Source organism: Homo sapiens, chromosome 19, assembly GCF_000001405.40.
Source record: "Homo sapiens chromosome 19, GRCh38.p14 Primary Assembly".
NCBI classification, from domain to species: Eukaryota; Metazoa; Chordata; class Mammalia; order Primates; family Hominidae; genus Homo; species Homo sapiens.
This window is the reverse complement of record NC_000019.10, coordinates 16822005-16844719: the sequence shown is the minus strand read 5'-3', so window position 1 is coordinate 16844719 and position 22715 is coordinate 16822005. Positions and strand designations below refer to the sequence as shown.

At 50.7% G+C, this 22715-nt stretch overlaps 1 protein-coding gene across 2 annotated transcripts in view, besides 5 other annotated features; it reads right to left on the bottom strand.

Annotated features, from left to right (window-relative positions):
• Window positions 1–15322, bottom strand: part of SIN3B (SIN3 transcription regulator family member B) — a 50952-nt gene extending 35630 nt beyond the window's left edge. For both annotated transcript variants that reach the window (NM_015260.4, NM_001297595.2), the window contains exons 1-4: window positions 15180–15322; window positions 14823–14929; window positions 13073–13226; window positions 2752–2952 (exon numbers count right to left, since the gene is read on the bottom strand). In NM_015260.4, the coding sequence (NP_056075.1) occupies window positions 2752–2952; window positions 13073–13226; window positions 14823–14929; window positions 15180–15299 (582 nt within the window). In that variant the 5' untranslated portion in view covers window positions 15300–15322. The remainder of the gene's footprint in view (window positions 1–2751; window positions 2953–13072; window positions 13227–14822; window positions 14930–15179) is intronic.
• Window positions 7569–8070: an enhancer, noted in NCBI's record as "H3K27ac hESC enhancer chr19:16947461-16947962 (GRCh37/hg19 assembly coordinates)". NCBI's record gives its function as "activates a minimal SCP1, AML or CMV promoter by ChIP-STARR-seq in naive H9 embryonic stem cells {active_cell/tissue: H9 hESC(naive)}" and the evidence as "EXISTENCE:reporter gene assay evidence [ECO:0000049][PMID:30033119]".
• Window positions 10370–10459: an enhancer, noted in NCBI's record as "active region_14248". NCBI's record gives its function as "activates an Ori minimal core promoter by ATAC-STARR-seq in GM12878 lymphoblastoid cells {active_cell/tissue: GM12878}" and the evidence as "EXISTENCE:reporter gene assay evidence [ECO:0000049][PMID:35858748]".
• Window positions 15095–15596: an enhancer, noted in NCBI's record as "H3K27ac hESC enhancer chr19:16939935-16940436 (GRCh37/hg19 assembly coordinates)". NCBI's record gives its function as "activates a minimal SCP1, AML or CMV promoter by ChIP-STARR-seq in naive H9 embryonic stem cells {active_cell/tissue: H9 hESC(naive)}" and the evidence as "EXISTENCE:reporter gene assay evidence [ECO:0000049][PMID:30033119]".
• Window positions 15175–15354: a silencer, noted in NCBI's record as "silent region_10315". NCBI's record gives its function as "represses an Ori minimal core promoter by ATAC-STARR-seq in GM12878 lymphoblastoid cells {active_cell/tissue: GM12878}" and the evidence as "EXISTENCE:reporter gene assay evidence [ECO:0000049][PMID:35858748]".
• Window positions 18713–19390: an enhancer, noted in NCBI's record as "OCT4-NANOG-H3K27ac hESC enhancer chr19:16936141-16936818 (GRCh37/hg19 assembly coordinates)". NCBI's record gives its function as "activates a minimal SCP1, AML or CMV promoter by ChIP-STARR-seq in naive H9 embryonic stem cells {active_cell/tissue: H9 hESC(naive)}" and the evidence as "EXISTENCE:reporter gene assay evidence [ECO:0000049][PMID:30033119]".

Genomic DNA, 22715 nt, shown 5'->3' with positions numbered 1-22715 from the left:
TGCTGTTTAGAGTCGGTGCCTATCTTTTTCTAGGTGTCCCTGAGGAAGTTTTTGAATGTCATACCCTGAGTCTGTTTCCCATGAACCTGCAGTTCCCATCACACTTTGCAACTCTGCAGAGGGAGCTCGTTTTTAGGGTCCCACTTATGTTAGGGCAGGACTAACTGTTCATCCCAGCACACACAGGACATGCATACGTGGCTGTGTAATGGGTGACAGTTACCCAGGGGTGACCTGAGGCAGGCTTGTGCCTGAACTGGTTGCTCAGTTAACCTCACTGAACCCAGGCTCATTGGCACCACCAGTTTTGTGGCCATTTTACGGATAAGAACCCCGAGGGAGAAGGTGGCAGAGAGAAAGTCTGAAGGAAAGCCCCACAAAGATGGAGAAACAGTAACACACGGCCAGATGGACCCTGGAGCTGCCTGGTTTGGCTCTAACAGTATCCCTGAAATATCTGAACCAACATTCTAAAACCAGGATAATTTACACAACAGTTCAAACTTACATTTGAAAAAACTAGACAACCTGAGGCTGGAGTCACCAGGGGCCTTGTTTAAAATGCAGATGCCATCCAGCTGGGTATGGTGGCCCACGCCTGTAATCCCAGTACTTTGGGGGGCTGAGGTGGGTGGATCACTTGAGGCCAGGAGTTCCAAGACCCACCTGGGCAACATGGTGAAACCCCGTCTCCTCTTAGCCCTTAGCTGGGCGTCGGAGTGAGCGCCTGTAGTCCCAGTCACTCAGGAGGCTGAGGTGGGAGGATTGCTTGAGCCCAGAGAAGTAGAGGCTGCAGTGAGCTGTGATGATGCCGCTGCACTCCAGCCTGGGCAACAGTGAGACCCAGTCTCAAAAAAATAAAAACAAAAAAAGAAACTGTGCCGATGCCGGGCGGGCCCTGATGAATGGGAATCCTGCATGGTGGCCAGGTGTCTGCATTCTCAACCAACTCTCAGCAGCCCGGTTTGGGTTGGGGGATACTGCGTTGTCCCTTCCCATGGCACTCTCTCTGAAGGAGTCTGTGGCAACCCCTCATTGTGACCTTGTCTAAATTCATCTCTAGTGTCTTTAACCTGCCCCTTCCTTTGCCACAGAACAGAGCCACTGCACAGACTGCTCTGATGCGCCTTCCTAAATGTGATGACCCCACAAAGCCTGGGAGGGGCCCACAGATTCTACGATCACAAGCACATCCCTCCACACAGACCAGATGCTCACAGCAGCCACTGGCAACCACTCATCCATGACAAACAAGCGTTCTTAGGGCTGTACCAGCCTCTCACAGATGCTAAGGCCCATGATGATGCCAGCACGGTGGACAACAAATGCTGTGGAGTTCCCAGAACACAAATTCTATCCATTTGATCTGAAACGCTTATGCTGAAAAGAATCCCGCTTCTTGACTCGACATGTCAAGGCTGCAGGGATTTCATTTTAAAAAATGGGTTCTGCTAATTAGCTGGGCGTGGTGGCCCATGCCTGTAGTCCCAGCTGCTCAGGAGGCTGAGGCAGGAGAATTGTTTGAAGCCGGGAGGCTGAGGTTGCAGTGAGCTGAGATTGAGCCACTGCACTCCAGCCTGGGTGACAGCGCAAGATTCTGTTTCAAAAAAAAGAAAAAAAATGGGTTCTGCTGCTAAAAAAAATTCCAAGCGTTAGAGACTCCACGTCTGGGTGAAGAGGACGTCTAAGCCCCACTCACGACACAGATGTCCCTCGCCACCAGCCCACCTGCATTGCCCAAGTCCCCTGCAGACGCCCTGATGCCGCTGTCTGCTCTGGTCTCTGGACCTTTGCACAGGCCATTCCTGGCACCAAGAATGTCCACCCTTCCTCCAGGCTAACCTGCCTACTGGTTCCGACTGATATGTCAAGATTCAACCTGACTGTCCCCTCCCTGGCCCCGGACGGGTTGGGAACCGGGCTGGGAATCATATTAACCCTGACTCACCTCTCCTGCCCACATCCTTTCTTTTCCACCCCAATCCACCTCTGAGTTTCTTCCCACCACTGCAATGAACAGCTAAGCAGGAGCAGCCATTTGTCTCTGTAGCCCCAGCTCCTGGTGCTGGGCCCAGTTGTAATCAGCAAAGTAAAGGATGGCCGTATTGCCTAAGCAATAACAAAGTCATCTGATAAAAAGACTGTCTTGGCCAGGTGTGGTGACACACACCTGTACTCCCAGCTACTTGGAGGGCTGAGGCAGGAGGATCGCTTGAGCCCAGGAGGTCAAGGCTGCAGTGAGCTATTATTACACCACTGCACTCCAGCCTAGGTGACAGAGCAAGACCCTGTCTCAAAAAAAAAAAAAAAAAAAGGTGGCTGGGCACGGTGGCTCACACCTGTAATCCCAGCACTTTGGGAGGCTGAGGTGGATGGGTCGTTTGAGTTCAGGAGTTCAAGACCAGCCTGAGCAACATGGCAAAACCCTGTCTCTACAAAAATTACAAAAATTAGCTAGGTGTGGTGATGTGCGCCCATGTTCTAGCCCCAAGTAGCCTCCGCTACTTGGGAGGCTGAAGTTGGAGGATGGCTTGAGCCCAGGAGGTGGAGGTTGCAATGAGCCGAGTCCGTGCCACTGCACTCCAGCCTGGGTAACAGAGCCAGACTCTAAGAAAAAACAAACAAAAAACCCCACAACTAATTAGAATTTTACAGGATTTTATGAATTCCGACAAGAAAATCTGAATATCTGCAGGGCCCCAAACTGGATGAAATCCAAAACCCACAAGGAATTGTAATCTGAGTTCTTACCTGGTACGTGTGCAGGATCTCCAGGAATGACCTGTAGATTTCTGGGTGGTCTAGGAAGCGGGTTTTAATCTTATTCACATAGCTGATGGCGTTGTTGAATTCCACGGAATCGGACTCCAGGGGCACCTGGGGTTTGTCCTCTTTATACGGCACCTGCTGCTTGAAGTCCTCTGCACCGTCCCCGTGGTTGTGCGAATTCTCCTGACAAGGCGACAATGAGTTACTGCCAGGCCCGACACTGGAAACAGATTGTGAAAAACACCAGGCCCAGCCACTGTCTGCACAGGAACAGAAAAAACTCAGCACGGAGCCAAGCTGTATTAGAGACAGGGAAAGGTTACTTCTGAGAGCCTGGAGGCAAGCAGGGCGGGGTGCACAGGTGAGTCTTCCCAGCTCACCTCCACCCGATCCTTACCAATCTACTCAAGGAACACAACAAGTTCAACGAGCACCTTGCATTTGGAAAACTTCACATTCAGGAGAAATGTACAAAGTGGATGTTTAAGCCTCTGTGGTGCCAAGTGCTGGGCTGCATATAATAGAGAAGTCTCCCACGCCTCCTGCAATCTGTTTCAGCAAGATTGCTTTCACGTGGAAAGGCAACTGCTGCCAGCAGTGATGCCAAGGTAGGATATATAAGATGGGGACCCTGGAGGTTAGAGGCGACCCACTGTCCAGGTTGTTGGGGACTTCAAGGGACATGACATTTTTGGTGCTAAGACCCAGGCCAATCGCAATAAGGTGCATCGGTCGCTTGGGAGAAAAGACAGGCCCTGAACACCCACCAAGAATGCCCTCTATGCGTGTACTTTTCAGCCGATATGAGCAAAAATAGAAAGAAGCTTGCCTCCCTCCCATGTTGTGGTGGGACAGGACCACTCCCCCAGAGGAGGAGCTGTTGTTTCTAAACCAGAATTATGCTGCACCATCCCCAGCACACAAGGGCTGGGTCTCCAGCCAGTCAGGATTCCTCCAGCCTGGCTGAGGTTTTTGCTTGGATAAGCCCTGCTTGGTGAGTCCTAGAGAACGCTCTTTCACCAAAGTAAAATGACGCCACCTCCTAGCACTCCTGCATTTTTCTCCGCGGCCCGTCACCACCTTATGGATCATGTATTTTACTCATTGCACTGTCTGCCAGTCCCTGACTAGATGGCGAACTCCACGAGGGTGGGGGTTTTGATCAGGGCTGTATCCCCAGTGCCCAGAACAGTGTGAGAAACAGAGTGAGCTTCACCCACTGTTGGGGATGATCAGGTGAACGGATGAAGGGACACACAGACTTCACTGTTTCCGCTGCCCTGCAGTGCCCAACACTGCAGGTGACCCAAACGCTGACCCTGAAAATCTACTGCAACAGGCAAGGCCAGGCACACCACTACCGTCTTGTACTGAAACAGGTACCTCTGCTGGGCACAGGCACCGTCAGTGGGGTGAGTGCATCCATCAGCTCAGGCTGCCACAACGAGGTACCCCAGACTGGCTGAAACAACAGAAGTTAGTAGTTCTCAGTTCTGGAGGCCTGGAGGCCAGGAGGCCAAGGTCAAGGTGCCAGGAGGTTTGGTTTTCTCTAAGGACTCTCTCCTTGGCTTGTGGGTGGCCACTGTCTGTGTCCTCATGTGGTCTTCTCTCTGTGCACGCATGTCCCTGATGTGTGTCCCAATCTCCTCTCTTATAAGGACACCAATCAGACTGGATTAGGGCCTACCCTAACGGCCTCAGTTAAATCACCTCTTCAAAGGCTCCATCTCCAAATACAGTCACGTTCTGAGGCGCTGGGGCTAGGGCTAAAATACATGAATTTGGGGTGGAATGTGGGGTGGGGGGATGACACAATTCTGCCCAGAACAATGGGTACAGAGACAATTCTAGAAAGTCTCAGCTGAGAAAAGCAGAAATACAAGACGCAGAGCAGCCACGATTCTAAAACAATTTCTCCTTGGTGGCGGGATTTGTTCTTTTTGTTTTGAGATGGAGTCTTGCTCTGTCTCCCAGGCTGGAGTGCAGTGGTATGATCCCGGCTCACTGCAACCTTTGCCTCCCGGGTTCAAGTGATTCTCCTGAGTAGCTGGGATCACAGGTGCCGTGCGACCACGCTGGCTAATTTTTCTATTTTTAGTAGAGATGGGGTTTCACCATATTGGCCAGGCTGGTCTCGCTTGACCTCAAGTGATCTGCCCACCTTGGCCTCCCAAAGTGCTGAGATTACAGGCGTAAACCACTGCGCCCAGTCAGTGGCGGGGTTTGTTGTAAGATTCTCTGGGGATGTCCGGAATGATTCTCTGCTCAGGCTCACAGGGGGCTGCGTCTGTTTCTCCATGGTGCACAGGTTTGATGGCAGAAGGGGTCGGAACGAGCAGGGTGTGGGTATGTAGGGAAGCAGCATGGAGCCAAGGTCTGTTTCAGAGGCAGCTGTAGGCTCACTGCGAGCCCCCCACCATTCCAAGGAGGCATTTCCAAGCTCCGCATGCACCCTCTGATCCCCTAAAGTGTGCCACTGCGACAAAATGGGGAACCACGCTCTAGACCAGGGCTTGGCAAAAAGAGCCAGATGGGACGGTACAGCCACCACGAGGGACAGTGTGGCAGTTACCTCAACAGGTTGACCATGGAATTATTGCTACCATATGACCTGGTAATCCCACTCCCAGGTCTATAACCAAGAGAACTGAAAAAAGGTGCTCAGGCCAGGGACAGTGGCTCAGGCCAGGCGCAGTGGCTCACACCTGTAATTCTAGCACTTTGGGAGGTTGAGGTGGACAGATCCCTTGAAGTCAGGAGTTTGAGACGAGCCTGGCCAACATTGCAAAACCCCGTCTCCACTAAAAATACAAAAATTAGCCAGGTGTGGTGGTGTGCACCTATAGACCCAGCTACTTGGGAGGCTGAGGAGGAAGAATTGCTTGAACCCAGGGGGTTGTGGTGAGCCGACAATGCACCACCGCACTCCAGCCTGGGAAACAAAAGCAAAACCCCATCTCAAAAAAAAAAAAAAAAAAAAGCCAGGCGCGGTGGCTGGAACCTGTAATCCCAGCACTTTGGGAGGCCAAGGATGGCGGATCACGAGGTCAGGAGTTCAAGACTAGCCTGGCCAACATGGTGAAACCCTATCTCTACTAAAAATGCAAAAAAATTAGCCAGGCGTGGTGGTGGGAACTTGTAATCCCGGCTACTTGGAAGGCTGAAGCAGGAGAATTGCTTGAACCTGAGAAGCAGAAGTTTTAGTGAGCTGAGACCCCGCCACTGCACTCCAGCCTGGGCGACAGAGCGAGACTCTGTCTCGAAAAAAAAAGAAAAAGAAAACACGTGTTCCAACACATCCTCACACATGAATGTTCGTTGCAGCACTATGCACAACAGCCAAAAGGTGGAAACAGGCCAAACATCCATCAACAGAAGAGTGGGCATGCGAAATGTGGTCCTGCCATACAGTGGAGAATGATTCAGTCTTAAGGAAGGAAGCACTGATACCGGCTCCGATGTGAATGACCCCGGAAAACACGATGCTGAGTGAGAAGCCAGACACCAACAGCCACACGGTGTATGACCCCACTGATATGAAATGTCCATACGGGCAAATCCATAAAGACAGGAAGCAGACTCATGGTTGCCAGGGGCTTGGGGAGAGGAGAATTAGGAGGTTCAGGGTTTGATCCTGGGGTGATGTTAATGTTCTGGAATTAGTGGTGATGGTTGTACAGTATTGTGAATATACTAACACTTTAAAATGATGATGATTTTATGTTATGTGAACAGTATCACAATATGAAACATTTTTAAAAATTTAATCCTTTGAAAATGTAAAAATCACAACCAATCACACCGAGCCAGGCTGGCTTTGGTCTCCAAGCTACCATTTGCCGACTGTGCTGCTCTAAACCACCCAGCACAAGCCCAGTTTTCTTTTTCTTCCGGCACCTCCTCTCTCCCCGTGCCCTGGGTGGCCTCATCAGGCAGAGTTCGAACTGCCTCCCACACCATGACAACCATCCTGCGTGGCCGACACGTCCATCTGAGCATCCACACACAGCCCCGCCTGGGTACTGATTAACAGAGCCTCAAATGGCAGGCACCGCACAGACACATAGCAGCCCCCCAACTGCCCTGGCCTTATGCACCTCAGCAGGGGCCCACACTTTTACCCAGAGAATCAGGCATCCTGAGATCAGCCCAGACTTCTCACTCTCACTGACACCCCCGCTCCTGATCTACATCATCATCCACTCTGCCCCCATCACATGGGAACCCCCTCTGGTCCTTGTCACCAGTCACTCTGTCCCCATCACTCAGGGCACTTCTCTGGTCCTTATCACTGTCCACTCCGTCCCCATCACTCGGGGGATCCCTCTCCAGTCCTTGTTACCATCCACTCTGTCCTCATCACTGTCTACTCAGTCCCCATCACTTGGGGACTGTCTCTGGTCCTTGTCACCATCCACTCTGTCGCCATTGCTGTCCACCTCTGTCCCCATCACTCGGGAGGCCTTCCCTACTCCTTGTTACCATCCATTCTGTCCTCATCACTTGGGAATTGTCTCTGGTCCTTGTCACCATCCTCTCTGTTCCCATCACTTGGGACCCTCTCTGGTCCTTGTCACCATCCACTCTGTTTCCATCACTGTCTACCCCGCCTCCATCACTTGGGGCCCCTCCCTGGTCTCCCAGGGGCCTCCTGACCCCTCATTCTCAGCACAGCAGCAGAACCGCCTCCCAGAACCATCCAGTGGTTCTCACGCTCCTGGCTCCCTCTCCCCCTTCTCTCCTTCAGCTCCTGACCCTGCCGTTCTCCTTGGCTGTTCCTCAAGCACACCCACTCACTCTCACCTCAGGCCATCACTCCCCACCAGGAACAGTCCCTCATGAAACAGGTCCTGCCCACAGCAACCTCCTCCCACCCTTCCCTGGCCTGCTCCATCCTCTCTCTGCCCTCTCCCATGCGCCACCCGCATCTGCCCATCTGTTTCTCATCGGACCCCCCACCTTGACTGTGCAGGAACCCTGAAAGCAGGGCCTCTGAATAAACCCCAGGGCCTGGCTCGGAGAAGGGGTCACCGCCTGCTCCATGAGCCAAGAAGATACAAACACAAGAATCGACTTGTTGACAACTAGCGGGACTTCCCCCAGAGAACAGCCAGGGGGCTCCCTTTGAATGTCGAGGGGCTGCTTAAGTTAGGAGCTGCACGTTAAGGGGTTATCTCTGTCTCTGTCCAAGCCAGCTGTCATCTTCCACGAGGCAGGGTCTGCCCTGAAGAGGACCCGCTAGCTGAGAGCGGCCATGTTCCCACCAGCATCCAGTTTCTCATTCCTGCACCATGCACTGCTCCCTGGCGACGTTCCAGAAGGTGGATACAGTCATGAACAAGACAGTGCAGGGCCCACCTCATCTTAAGGACTCACCGTCAACCAAGGAAGGAAAACCAATAAGAAACAATGCATTCTGAACTTCTTTTCCTAGCCGTTTTGAAATACATAACCCAGGGTGGTGTAAGAATGACACAGGGTAGGGACTAGGGGGCTCTCTGTGGAGCTGACATTACAACCAAGGCCTGAATTACCAGACAGTAAATGATGCTGACTCAGGAGGCCAAGGCAAGGCTCCAGTAAGAAGCTGTTCCTTCCTCCAAATTCCCCAGGTCGTCACTGGCCACACACCACGGCCTGTGTCTGTCTTCCCCTTTAGACTCGTGTTCTCAACCTGAGCAACTCTGCCACCCAGGGGACACTCGGCAACACGGGAGACACTTTAGGTTATCACATCTAGAAGCATCTGGTGGGTGGAGGCCAGGGAGGCTGCTCAAATACCCTTCAGTGTGCAGGACGGCACCTCGCCATAAAGAACAGTCTGGCCCCCAAAGCTGAAGACACCCTGCGCCAAAGGCTGCCCGAGGCTGGGACTCTCTTATTCACCTTCCTTACCACCTATGGGCCACTCCCTACTTGTCAGTAGCTGGCAGGCTTTGTGATAAAATTGGGGGGGGAAAAAGATACTTCAAAACAGTCAAACTAGAAAAACTAAGCAACAGAGAATACTGGCCAGGCGTGGTGGGTCACACCTGTAATCCCAAAACTTTGGGAGGCCAAGGCAGGAGGATCACTTGAGTCCAGCCTGGACAACATGGTGAAACCCTGTCTCTGTTTTAAAAATGTAAAAAAGGCCAGGCACAGTGGCTAACGCCTGTAATCTCAACACTTTGGGAGGCTGAGGTGGGGGATCACTTGAGGTCAGGGGTTCGAGACCAGCCTGGCCAACATGGTGAAAACCTGTCTCTACTAAAAATACAAAAATTAGCTGGGTGTGGTGGCACATGCCTGTAATAGCAGCTACTTGGGAGGCTGAGGCAGGAGAATGACTTGAACCTCAGAGGCGGAGGCTGCAGTGAGCTGAGATCACGCCATTGTACTCTAGCCTGGGTGACAGTGAAATGGTGTCTCAAAATTAAAAAATAATTCAATTAAAGTAAAAAAAAAAAAAAAAAGAACTTTGGGAGGCCGAGGTGGGCAGATCATGAGGTCAGGGGATTTCGAAACCAGCCTGACCAACATGGTGAAATCCCATCTCTACTAAAAATACAAAAATTAGCTGATAGTGGTGGCAGGCACCTGTAATCCCAGCTACTCAGGAGGCTGAGGCAGGAGAATCACTTGAACCCGGGAGGCAGAGGATGCAGCGAGCCAAGATCGTGCCATTGCACTCCAGCCTGGGCAACACAGCGAGACTCTGTCTCAAAAAAAAAAAAAAAAAAGATGGCCAGGTGCAGTGGCTCATGCCTGTAATCCCAGTACTTTGGGAGGCCGAGGCAGGCAGATCACGTGAGGTCGGGAGTTCAAGACCAGCCTGACCAATATGGAGAAACCCCGTCTCTACTAAAAATACAAAATTAGTCGGGCGCGCTGGTGCATGCCTGTAATCCCAGTTACTCAGGAGGCTGAGGGAGGAGAATCGCTTGAACTGGGGAGGCAGAGGATGCGGTGAGTCGAGATTGTGTCATTGCACTCCAGCGTGGGTAAAGAGCGAAACTCTGAAACTCTGTCACAAAAAAAAAAAAAAAGAAAGAAAAGAAAGAAAGAAAGAATATCACCAGGGCCTCTGTGTGTGGGAAACCCTGTGAGGCTTTCAGACGATGGCCTCTCAAAGGACTCCAGGGAGCCGAAAGCTCAAAGGACTCCTGAAGCCACGCGAGTCATGGCCTGGACCTGGGATATCTCTCATGTTTCTGTCCTGAAGCCACACAAACAACAGCCCAGACTGCTGGGAAACAGGGCTGGAAACCTGACAGCACCTGTGTCAATATCAACTGGAAGCCAGTGGGCTCCCAGGGGCCCCCGAAGAGAACAAACTTCTACACCTAAGCCTGGAAATGACTGTTCCCAGGCTGCAGCACGATGACCAAGGCCCTGCTGAGTAGCTACTAAGTGAAAGTTCTTTTCAAGCCTTTCCCCAAGTCGATGGGTCTGCACCGTCATCATTGTCACCTAAGCCACCTACGGGGAGACAAGACTGCCAGCCCTCCACGGTTGGGGACCCGCAGCTACTTAAAGGAAGAGCCAACTCCAAATACAACCAGTGTGGCGCCTGTCAAGATCTAGCCCTGAAAGCCGAGTTACTCCACGGGCAGGGACTCTGCTGAAAGGCAATTTCCACATGCAGGACGCACAGTTCACATCTTTTCACTCTGGCTCTTTCTGAGTGAGTGACAGGAACGAGACCCAGAGTTTCCACAGCATTCAGGCTCTGCAAAGTGCTCTGGTGGACGCTGCTATTGCAAATGAGCTTGGCTTTCTCCCGCAGTCGTGACTGTTCTGGAGATCAGTCTTGCTAAGGCTTTCATGGTCTAAGACACAAGCAGTACATCTGGATCCTGGGGCTTCATTTGCAAACAGGAAATGGAAGGCTCTTCAGAGTTCAGTGGCCACACGCTTCCAAGTTCCCCTTTAAAGCTGAGATTCAGCTGGGTGCGGTGGCTCACACCTGTAATCCCAGCACTTTGGGAGGCAGAGGTGGGCGAATCACGGGGTCAGGAGTTCGAGACCAGCCTGACCAACATGGCGAAACCCCCATCTCCACTAAAAATACAAAAAAATTAGCCGGGCATGATGAAGCGTGCCTGTAATCCCAGCTACTCAGCACGCTGAGGCAGGAGAATCTCTTGAACCCAGGAGGTGGAGGTTGCAGGGAGCCGAGATTGCGCCACTGAACTCCAGCCTGGGTGACAGAGCGAGACTCCTTCTCAAAAAAGGCAAAAAAAAAACCCTGAGACTCGCTCCTTGGCTTTCAGGAGACAACAGGCTGATGGCAGAGAGGGTCTTGCACAGAGAAGCAGCAGAATTTTTTTTTTTTTTGAGACGGAGTCTTGCTCTGTCACCCAGGCTACAGTGCAGTGGCACAATCTCTGCTCACTGCAACCTCCGCCTCCCAGGTTCAAGCAATTCTCATGCCTCAGCCTCCCAAGTAGCTGGGATTACAGGCATGCTCCACTGCGCCTGGCTGATTTTTGTACTTTTAGTAGAGACAGGGTTTCACCATGATGGCCAGGCTGGTCTTGAACTCCTGACCTTGTAATCTACCCATCTCGGCCCCCCAAAGTGCTGGGATTACAGGCGTGAGCCACTGCGCCTGGCCGAGAAGCAGCAGAATTGACACACACCTTGCACATGGAATTAATACAAAAGCACTGCCACATTACCCTTCGCTGTTCTCTTTCCAACTGACTGCGGAGTGTCAGATCCCTAATTGATTGGACGCTCTATCATCTCTTCCATCAAAGAAGACCTACCAAGTGCTTCCAGCAGTAGATTCTGACACTCCCTGCTAAAACTCTCGAGGCAAGGACTGGAGGAGGTTGGGAGAGCTGGTCCACTTACACCGGTGGTTCTCAACAGGGGCACTTTTGCCCCCCAGGGAGACACCTGGCAATGTCTGGAGACATTTCTGGCTGTCAGAACTGAGTGAAGGTCTGGTAGGTACACGCTACAGATCCTGCTAAACACCCCACAATGCACTGGGAAGCCCCCAACAGCAAAGAATTATGCCTTAAATGGGAAATAGTGTTGAGGTGGAAAAAATGACAATGGTCATCTTATAAAAGGAAATCTTAAGTAGGCTTTCTTTTTCTCAGAGGCGCTAGTAAGCTCAAGCATGAAGAGACTGCAGAGATAGAAGGGGCAGTGAGCCAGGCACAGTGGCTCACTCCTGTAATCCCAGCACTGTGGGAGGCCAAGGTGGGCACATCGCTTGAGGCCAGGAGATCGAGACCAACCCTGGGCAACATAGTGAGACCCTGTCGCTACAAAAAAAATAAATAAATTAGCTGGCCGTGGTGGTGCACGCCTGTAGTCCTAGCTACTTAGGAGGCTGAGACGGGAGGATCACTTGAGCCCAGGAGGTTGAGGCTGCAGTGAGATATGATGGCACCACTGCACTCCAGCCTGGGCAACAGAGTGAGAACCTGTCTTAAAAAAAAAAAAAAAAAAGGAGGCTGGGCACGGTGGCTCACGCCTGTAATCCTAGCACTTTGGGAAGCTGAAGCAGGCAGATCACTTGAGGTCAGGAGCTCAAGAACAGCCTGGCCAACATGAAGAAACCCCATCTCTACTAAAAATACAAAAATTAGCTAAGCATGGTGGTGCACACCTGTAATCCCAGCTACTCGGGAGGCTGAGGCAGGAGAATTGCTTGAACCTGGGAGGCGGAGGTTGCACTGAGCTGAGATTGCGCCACTGCACTCCAGCCTGGGTGACAGAGCCAGACTCCGTCTCCAAAAAAAAAAAAAAAAAAAAAAAGAGGGCCAGCACCTATCACCCAAGAAAAAAGGGACCAAAGCAAAGCCAGGAGTCCCAGCTGAGCTAATGATCCTATCAACAATTAAATGAAACACAGCCAACATAAACGTGGCTACTCACACACCATCTCGACCACTTTATTTTGTAGGTGGTACTGAGAGTGATCAGAGGCAGACGAGGACATGCTTAAATACAAGGGCAAGCCTGCCTGGTATGCTCGCTGGGAAAGCCTCAAGCCAAGACCTCAGCAACTGCTGAGGTGGTTATTTAGACTTCACACAAAATTCTGCGTTAGGAGGATACCTCCCTGACATCCACTCTTGATTTAAATCTTCCAAACAGATCAATTTGGGAGGCAGAGGCTGCTTGTGTAGGTGTTTCCATATCTATTTTGATTTGTGCTAGAAGCAATGAGCACGTCTAGAAAAAGAACAGATCTTAAGTGGCTTTCTAGCAATGATACAGGAGAGACACGTGGCCCAACCTGAGTAGCAAGACATACTCGGTGAAGGCTGAGATCACCCGAACCACTGTAGTGGCATACCTGGCTTGTCAGAGGCGACTGTATGTTTAACTTGCCATTCTTGGGAATGTCTATTCTATATCCGAGGGGAAGAAAAGCGTTGAATCCAACAATGAGGTCAGGGTGCTCGTGGAAGAGCTGCGAGACACGTCTGATGACTCCAGGAGTATCGATGCTAGAAGAAACAACGGAAGTGGGCAAAAGGGTCTTGGGAAATAAATGAAAAATATAATCTATTCCCCACTCCCTTGATACTGCCACATAAAAACCTTCTCAACAGACAACAAAGGAACCTAAAATGTGACCCACCAGGCGCAGTGGCTCATGCCTGTAATCCCAGCACTTTAGGAGGCCGAGGCAGGCAGATCACCTGAGGTCAAGAGTTCGAGACCAGACTGGTCAACATGGTGAAACCCTGTCTGTACTAAAAATACAAAAACGAACTTGGAGTGGTGGTGCGTGCCTGCAGTCCCAGCTACTCAGGAGGCAGAGGCACAAGAATCACTTGCACCCGGGAGGCGGAGGCTGCAGTGAGCCCAGATCACACCACTGCACTCCAGCCTGGGCGACAGCACGAGAATCCATCTCAAAAAAAAAAAAAAAAGTGCCCCCATGTGATAGCATCTGTACACCATGACCTATCTCCTGACTGGCTAGGCCTGAGCTCCCTGTTCCCTCCTGGTGAGAACCAGAGAATACTGACATCGCTCAGCTCCCCTAAAACACTCCAAGAATGGGTACTCGGTTCTGAAAATGTCAGGAGAGCCAACCGCAAGGCCTGGACTCCAAGAAATGGCAGGAGGCCAAAGTCCTCTAAGCAATGTGAAAACTTCCCTCATTTTGTATCAGATAGAGATGACTATGACACAGGTTTCCATCTGAGCAAACAATTGCAATGCATAAATACCAATGGTACTGCCAAGAATGGGAAAGGTGTAAGAAAAATAGGAGGGGAGAGATGGGGTCTCCCTTCTGGCTGCATTGCAGCCCAGCCCTTAGCACTGGGCTCCCGGAAGGAAACCAGGCCAGCCCCACCATGTTTCCTAAGAGGGGGCAGCAGTATGGTAAGCATGTGACTTCCAAGAATCTGAGTCAGAGGGTCTGAGTTCTAGTGACACCTCTGCCACTTAGGTGGGTCCCTTACCCACTCCAAACCTCAGTGAGTCTCCTATAAAAACAAGGGCATGATCCCAGGGTTTCCCATCTATCTGTAATCTTCCTTGATTCTGGGCCTGCAAAATCATCTCATGTGTTTTAAACGTTTTCTGTGTGCCAGCTCCCTTACTAAGCATTTTATGCGTCTTACTTCCAAGCAGGCCTGGGACCACAGTGAGCCCAGAGAAGCATCTTGAGGACAAGATTAAAGGGGAAGAGGGTGCCAAAAATTTCAATCATCAAGACAATAACATTTTACAGCGCTTGAAAATAAAAATCAAAATGGGTCCCACCAAATCTTTCATGAACAAAACTAATATAAAAATCAACATATTAAATCAAGGCAGGATTTGACTCTATGAGTGTGCACGGCCTCGCCCTCCCTGCCTCCCCCCAGATCCCTGTCCTGCTTCCAGGAATCCCCACAAAGCTCCACAAGGTGGGTACTACCCATTTCCATTTTTGTTACGAGAAGGAGCTAGGGCTCTGAGAGATTGGACAACCTGCGCAAGGTCACCCGGCTAAGGGGGCAGGCTGGAGAGGGGAGGTCTCACCCCGCTAGGCCCGATTCCGGCCCAGGGGGGTCCCCTGAGGTGGAGAGGGGCCCCGCTGGTACCTCTGGCTTTTGAACTCCTTCATGATCTCCAGGAAGCCGTTGTAGGTGGCAGGGTCGCTGCCAAAGCGGATCTTCACCTGGTCCAGATAGGTGAGGGCGTCTTCTACCTGCAGAGAGGGGGAGGGTCCCGGTGGGCCCTGGCCGCGGAACGAGGGGACGAGGGGCCGGGGTCCCTGAGGGGAAGGGGATGGGCTGGGCTTTCGGAGGGCCGAGGTGAGAGGTGAGGGGTGAGGGGTCCGGGGCAGTGCAGAGGGGAGGCCGAGGTGGGGCTGGGGCCGGGCGGGGCCTGGGTGAGGGGCGCCCGCCCGCGGGGTCCAGAAGATGGGTTCCCCGAGGGAGGGCGGGGACGCCACTCACGTGCACCGGCAGCTTCTCGTGGCCTGCGGAGCCCGAGCGACCCCAGCGGGCGCCGCTCAGCCCCCGGCCCGCGGGGCCGCCGGCACCGCTGCCACCGCTGCCACCGCCAGCGTGCGCCATGTCCGAAGTCGGAGCTGCGCCCCGCCCCGCCCCCGCCCGAGGTCCTGCCGCGCATGCGCAGCCTCCGCCTTTGGAGGCGGGGTTTGATGACGTTGAGGGGCGGTGCTCTTTGAGGGACTCTTCTGAAGACCTTCTCCTTAAGATTGGTATCATAATTAATGATTTATATAGCAGGGGTAGGCGAGCCAAGACCCGCCGCCTACTTTGTCCGGCCCCGCAAGCTCAGAATTATTTTTACATGTTTACATAGCCGGGGGAAAAATCCAAAGAAGAATAGTCTATGACCTGTGAAAAGTTTGTGAAATTCACATTTGAGGGTCCCTGAATAAAGTTTTATTAGCACACAGACACGCCCACGCGTTTACCTGGCTTCTCTGCCTGCTTTCGCCTTACAACAGAGTAGGTAGTTGCTAAAGATCCTACAGATCTGCAGACCCTGAAGTATTTACGATCTGGCCTTTTATGGAAAAAGTTTGTTGGCCCCTGCTTTATAGAGTTGACGGGACGATGAGGTATGAGCCCCCAGCGCCCTAATATAGGGCCTTGCGTGGTGAATTTTTGCTAAATGGCCTTTAAGTTAGTCCTACTCCTCCCATCTTCACTTCCCTATCCTTGGCCCCGTCACTTCCCATCTGGACCAGTTTAGGAGCCTCCTAACTCTGGTACTTTCTTTTTTTTTTTTTTTTTTTTTTTTTTTTTTTGAGACAGAGTCTCGCTCTGTCGCCCAGGCTGGAGTGCAGTGGCGCGATTTCCGCTCACTGCAAGCTCCGCCTCCCGAGTTCACACCATTCTCCTGCCTCAGCCTCCTGAGTAGCTGGGACTACAGGCGCCCGCCACTGCGCCCTGCTAATTTTTTGTACTTTTAGTGCCACCCCACCTGGCTCTAACTCTGGTACTTTCTCAGCCCTGATACTATCAAGAACTCTAGGCTGGGGATGGTGGCTCACGCCTGTAATCCCAGCACTTTGGGAGGCCGAGGCGGACGGATCACGAGGTCAGGAGATAGAGACCATCCTGGCTAACACGGTGCAACCCCGTCTCTACTAAAAATACAAAAAATTAGCCGGGCCTTGAAAAAAAGAAAAAGAAAATGAAAAAATTGGCTGGGCGCCGTGGCTCACGCCTGTAATCCCAGCACTTTGGGACGCCGAGGCGGGCAGATCACCTGAGGTCTGGAGTTGGAGATTAGCCTGACCAACATGGAGAAACCCCGTCTCTACTAAAAATACAAAATTAGCCGGGCTTTGTGGCGCATGCCTGTAATCCCAGCTACTCGGGAGGCTGAGGCAAGAGAATTGCTTGAACCCGGGAGGCGGAGGTTGCAGTGAGCCAAGATCACGCCATTGCACTCCAGCCTGGGCAACAAGAGCAAAAACTCTGTCTCAAAAAATTAATTAATTAATTAATTAAATAATAAAATAAAATGAAAAAATTAGCTGGGCGTGGTGGTGCACACGTTTAGTCCCAGCTACTCGGGAGGCTGAGGCAGGATTGCTCATGCCCAAGAGTTCAAGGCTGCAGTGAGCCATGATCTTGCCACTGCACACCCCAGCCTGGGAAGCATAGCAGTGCTTTTTTTTTTTTTTTTTTTTAAAGAGCATCTCATCTCTTAAAAAAAAAAAAACAGAAAAACAAAAAACTCCACTTTTTCCACCACTCCTTCCAAACCTCCAAGGTCTTCCTATTTCTAATGAGATGAAATCTAAGCACCTACATTGCAGGCTGTCAGAATTGGTCCTTAGGAACCTTTTCCTGCAGGATTTTCCAAGCAAACTGCCTGCCTCTGTGCAGAACTTCACACAATTGCCTGACCAACCTGGCTGCTTCCTGGTCCCAAGCATTGGCACTCACCATTTCCTTTGCCAGAAGTACTGTCATGCCTCTTTGTTATTCAGAAAACACCTATACATCCTTCTAAACGCAGCCCAAATATCCCTTTCCCTCAGGAAGTGTTCCCAGTCCCCTTCTATGTCTCCCCTCAGTCCCTTGTATTTCATATTTGTTTTGTGTCCGTCTCTAATACAAATCCCTGACACAGTCTCTCAGTCAGCATTCATCAAATAAGTGAACGTTCAATTAATGACCAAGTGCTTTCTCTTTTTATAAGTGAAGAGGTGCAGGAAAGTTGAGAGTAAATTGGCATCGAGTGCATCATTTACCAGGCACCTTGCTAAGTGTCAGGAATAGAATGGTAAAAAGGAACGCAAATTTGGCCGTTAAGAGCTTTTAGTCTCTCAGGATAGACAGGAATCTAGTAATCACACAAATGTAAAGTTTCACATGTAACAAATACTTTAAAGAGAAGGTATACATGTAACAGTTCCTAAATTTCTGTTGCTATGACTGTGTAACAAATGAGCCCTTGACAATCCCAGCACTTTGGGAGGCCAAGGTGGGGGCATGCATTGAGGCCAGGAGTTTGAGACCAGCCCAGGCAACATAGCAAGATCCCATCTGTACAAAAACATTAAAAAGAAAGAAAAATGGAGAGAAAAAATAAAAACATTGTAAGGTCTGGGCTTTCTGTAAAAGAAAATAAAAAGCAGCTCAAGACTTAGAAGCTTCAAATGACAACAACATTCACGGGGCAAGTGGCTCATGGCTGTAATCCCAGCACTTTGGGAGGCAGAGGTGGGTGGATCACATGAGGCCAGGAGTTCAAGACCAGCCTGGACAAGATGGTGAAATCCCATCTCTACTAAAAATACAATAATTAGCCAGGTGTGGTGGCACACACCTGTAATCCCAGCTACTTGGGAGGTTGAGGCATGAGTATCGCTTGAACCCAGAAGGTGGAGGTTGCAATGAGCTGAGATTGCGCCACTGCACTCCAGCCTGGGGAACAGAGCAAGAGCAAGACCCTGTCTTGAAAAAAAAAAAAAAAGAAAGAAAAGAGACATTCATTTTACTCTTCAATCTGCAATTTGGGCAGGCTTGGGAGGAATAACTCAACCTTGGCATCAGCTGGGTGGCTCAAAGTCTGGGGGCTGGAATCACCTGAATGTTTGCTCACACATATGTATGTCAGTTGCTACAGGCTACAGGCCGAGACCCTCGCTGGGGCCGTTGCTTGGAATACCTACATGTGGTCTCCTTGCAGCCTGAGCTTCTTCACAACTACCGTTCTAAGAACAAGTGAGCGTGTGAGCCAGGTGGGAATCATATCATCTTTTCTTTTTCTTCTTCCTCTTCCTCTTCTTCTTCCTCTTCTCCTTCTCCTTCTTCTTCTTCCGGAGATGGCAGGGGTTGGGGTGGGACTCAGGGTCTCAGGCTGGCCCAGGCTGGCCTCAAACTCCTGGACTCAAAGGATCCTCCCACGTCAATCTGTTGAGTAGCTGGGACTACAGGCATGCATCACTGCACCCAGCTCCCATATTACCTTTTCTCACCCAGACTCGGAAGTCACGCAGAATCATTTCCATTGCATTCTTTCCATACAGGCTGTTACAAAGTTTTTCCTAAATTCAAGAGGAGGGCAAATGGCCAAGAGTATCATGTGGGACAGGAAATATGTTGTGGCTATTTTTGGAAAATACCACCTGTTACCTAGGGAAACCTAACCCAGTCTTGCAGGAGATGAGGGAGGCTTCCCAGAGGAGGTGGCATTCTAGCTGAGATCTGAAGAATGCGTAGGCATTCATCATGAGAAAAATCACGAACAGCTGTGATTTTTGAGGTGGGAGACAGCATGGTACATTTCAAGAGTTTTTTTTTTTTTAAGACGAGTTTCCCAGGCTGCAGAGAGGGAGGGGAAGAAAGAGAGTACAAGATAATCCCGGAGCAGCCAGAGGAGCGGAACACACAGCACCTTATGCACTGAGTTCAGGCTTTAGCATTCACGCTGGTGGAAACCATCCAAGGGCTTTGAGCGGAGGAGCTGCAAGTTCAGGTTTGCATTTGAAAGTGATCACTCTGGCTGCTCTGCAGGAAAGTGATTGGAGCGGAGCCAGGGAGGGTGGAGGGAGGCTGTTTCATCATTTAGGCAAAGGACGATGGTGGCTTAGACCAGGATGGGAGCAGTGGAAGTAGAGAGCGGTGGGTGGAAGGGAGTGGTATTTAGAAAGTAAAGCATGGAAGATTTGTGGCTCCCAGCCAGGAAGAGCAGCGAAGGCAGACTGAACACTCTGTGGCCACCAGATGTCTGGACAGTCCGTTTCTTACCAAAGCCTCCCAGTGTTACAGGAAATGGGTCCCGATCCAGACCCCCCAGAGAGGGTTTTTGGATTTCACGCAAGAAAGAATTCAGGGAGAGTCTGTAAAGTGAAAGCAAGTTTATAAGGAAAATAAAGGAACAAAGAATGGCTACTCCACAGACAGAGCAGCCCCGAGGGCCGCTTATTCCCCATTTTTATGATTTATTTCTTGATGATATGCTAAACAAGGGGTGGATTATTCATGCCTCCTCTTTTTAGACCATAGAGGGTAACTTCCTGACGTTGCCATGGCATTTCTAAACTGTCTTGGCGCTGGTGGGAGTGTAGCAGTGAGGACCACCAGAGGTCATTTTGATTTGGGTAGATTTTGGCCGGCTTCTTTACTGCAACCTGTTTTATCAGCAAGGTCTTTATGACCCGTATGTTGTGCTGACCTCCTATCTCATCCTGTGACTAAGAATGCTTTAACCATCTGGGAATGCAGTGCAGTAGGTCTTAGTCTTATTTTACCCAGCCCCTATTCAAGTCGGGGTTCCTCTGGTTCAAACACCTCTGACACTGTTACGGGAAAGGGGTCCCAATCCAGACCCCAAGAGAGGGTTCTTGGATCTCACGCAAGAAAGAATTCAGGGCCAGTCCATACAGTAAACTGAAAGTAAGTTTATTAGGAAAGTAAAGGACTAAAGAATGGCTACTCCATAGACAGAGCAGCCCCCAGGGCTGCTGGTTGCCCTTTTTCTTAGACAGAGTCTCGTTCTGTCGCCCAGGCTGGAGTGCAGTGGCGCCATCGTGGCTCACTGCAAGCTCCGCCTCCCAGGTTCATGCCATTCTCCTGCCTCAGCCTCCCGAGTAGCTGGGACTACAGGCGCCTGCCACCACACCTGGCTAATTTTTTTTGTATTTTTAGTAGAGATGGGGTTTCACCATGTTAGCCAGGATGGTCTTGATCTCCTGACCTCGTGATCCGCCCACCTTGGCCTCCCAAAATGCTGGGATTACAGGTGTGAGCCACAGCGCCTGGCCGCCCATTTTAATGGTTATTTCCTTTTGAGACGAAGTCTTACTCTGTCGCCCAGGCTAGAGTGCAGTGGCGCGATTGCAGCTCACTGCAACCTCTGCCTTCCAGGTTCAAGCGATTCTCCTACCTCAGCCTCCCAAGTAGCTGGGATTACAGGTGCGTGCCACCACGCCTGGCTAATTTTTGTATTTTTAGTATTAGAGACGGGGGTCTTATCATGTTGGCCAGGCTGGTCTCAAACTCCTGACCTCAAATGATCTATCCACCAAAGCCTCCCAAAGTATTGGGATTACAGGCATGAGCCACCGCGCCTGGCCAGTTATTTCTTGATGATACGCTAATCAAGGGGTGGATTATTTATGCCTCCCCTTTTTAGACCATATAGGGTAACTTCCTGATGTTGCCATGGCATTTGTAAACTGTCATGGCACCGGTAGGAGTACAGCAGTGAGGACAACCAGAGGCCACTCTTGTCTCCATCTTGGTTTTGGCTGGCTTCTTTACTGCAGGCTATTTTATCAGCTAGGTTTTTTTTGTTTGTTTGTTTTTGTTTGTTTTAGACGAAGTTTCACTCTTGTTATTCAGGCTGGAGTGCAATGGCGCAATCTTGGCTCACTGTAACCTCCACCTCCCAGTTCAAGTGATTCTCCTGCCTCAGCCTCCCGAATAGCTGAGATTACAGGTGCGCACCACCAGGCCCGGCTAATTTTGCATTTTTAGTAGAGACGAGGTTTCTCCATGTTGGTCAGGCTGGTTTCAAACTCCCGACCTCAGGTGATCCACCCACCTCAGCCTCCCAAAGTGCTGGGATTACAGGCATGAGCCACCGCGCCAGGCCAGTAAGGTCTTTATGACCCGTATCTTGTGCTGACCTCCTAACTCATCCTGTGACTTAGAATGACCTAACCATCTGGGAATGCAGCCCAGTAGGTCTCAGCCTTATTTTACCCAGCCCCTATTCAAGATGTTGTTGCTCTGGTTCAAATGCCTCTGACATCAGCAACCTATTAGTCATCGTCCTTGAGGGCCAACAGAGTTGTCCCACAGTGTGCCCCTCCCCACAGGGAGTGTGGCTTCTACTCAAATTTGTTTTCTCTCAAATGATCAGCAAAGGCCCTCTTTCATTTGGGGAAGAGGAAACTGTTACCGAAAAGGGGTCTTCATCCAGACCCCAAGAGAGAGTTCTTGGATCTCATGCAAGAAAGAATTCTGGACAAGTCCATAAAGTAAGTTTAAGAAAGTAAAGGAGGCCAGGTGGCTCACGCCTGTAATCCCAGCACTTTGGGAGACGAAGGCAGACAGATCGCTTTTTCTCTACAAAAAACAAACAAACAAACAAAACAAAACAAAAAATTAGCCTGGCGTGGTGGTGCACGTCTGCAGTCCCAGCTATTTGGGAGGCTGAGGCAGGAGAATTGCTTGAGTCCAAGAAGTCAAGGCTGCAGTGAGCCATGGTCGTGTCACTGCTCTCCAGCCTGGGAAACAGAGCAAGATCCTGTCTCAAAAAAAAAGAAAAAAGGCTAGGTGCAGTGGCTCATGCCTGTAATTCCAACACTTTGGGAGACCGAGGAAGGCAGATCACCTGAGTTCAGGAGTTCGAGACCAGCCTGGTCAAGATGGTGAAACCCTGTCTCAACTAAAAATACAAAAATTAGCTGGGCATGGTGGTGGACGCCTGTAATCCCAGCTACTCGGGAGGCTGAGGCAGGAGAATCACTTGAACCTGGGAGGCGGAGGTTGCAGTGAGCCGAGATCGCACCATTGCGCTCTAGCCTGGGTGACCAGAGCAAAACTGCATCTCAAAAAATAAAAATAAATTTTAAAAATGAAGAAAAAGAAAGTAAAGGAATAAAAGAATGGCTACTCCACAGGCAGAGCAGTGATATGGGCTGCTCGATTGCATATACTTACAGTTATTTCTTGATTATAGGTTAAACAAGGGATGGATTACTCATGAGTTTTCTGAGAAAAGGGGCGAAGATTTCCCAGAACTTAGGGGTCCCTACCCTTTTAGAACCTATAGGGTAACTTCTGGAAGTTGCCATGGCATTTGTAACTGTCATGGCGCTGGTGGGAGTGTCTCTTAGCATGCTAATGTATTATAATTAGTGTATAATGAGCAGTGAGGACAACCAGAGGTCACTTTCACACCATGCTGATAAAACCCTGCATCCTGGCCCGGCACGGTGGCTCACGCCTGTAATCCCAGCCCTTTGGGAGGCCAAGGTGGGCGAATCACCTGAG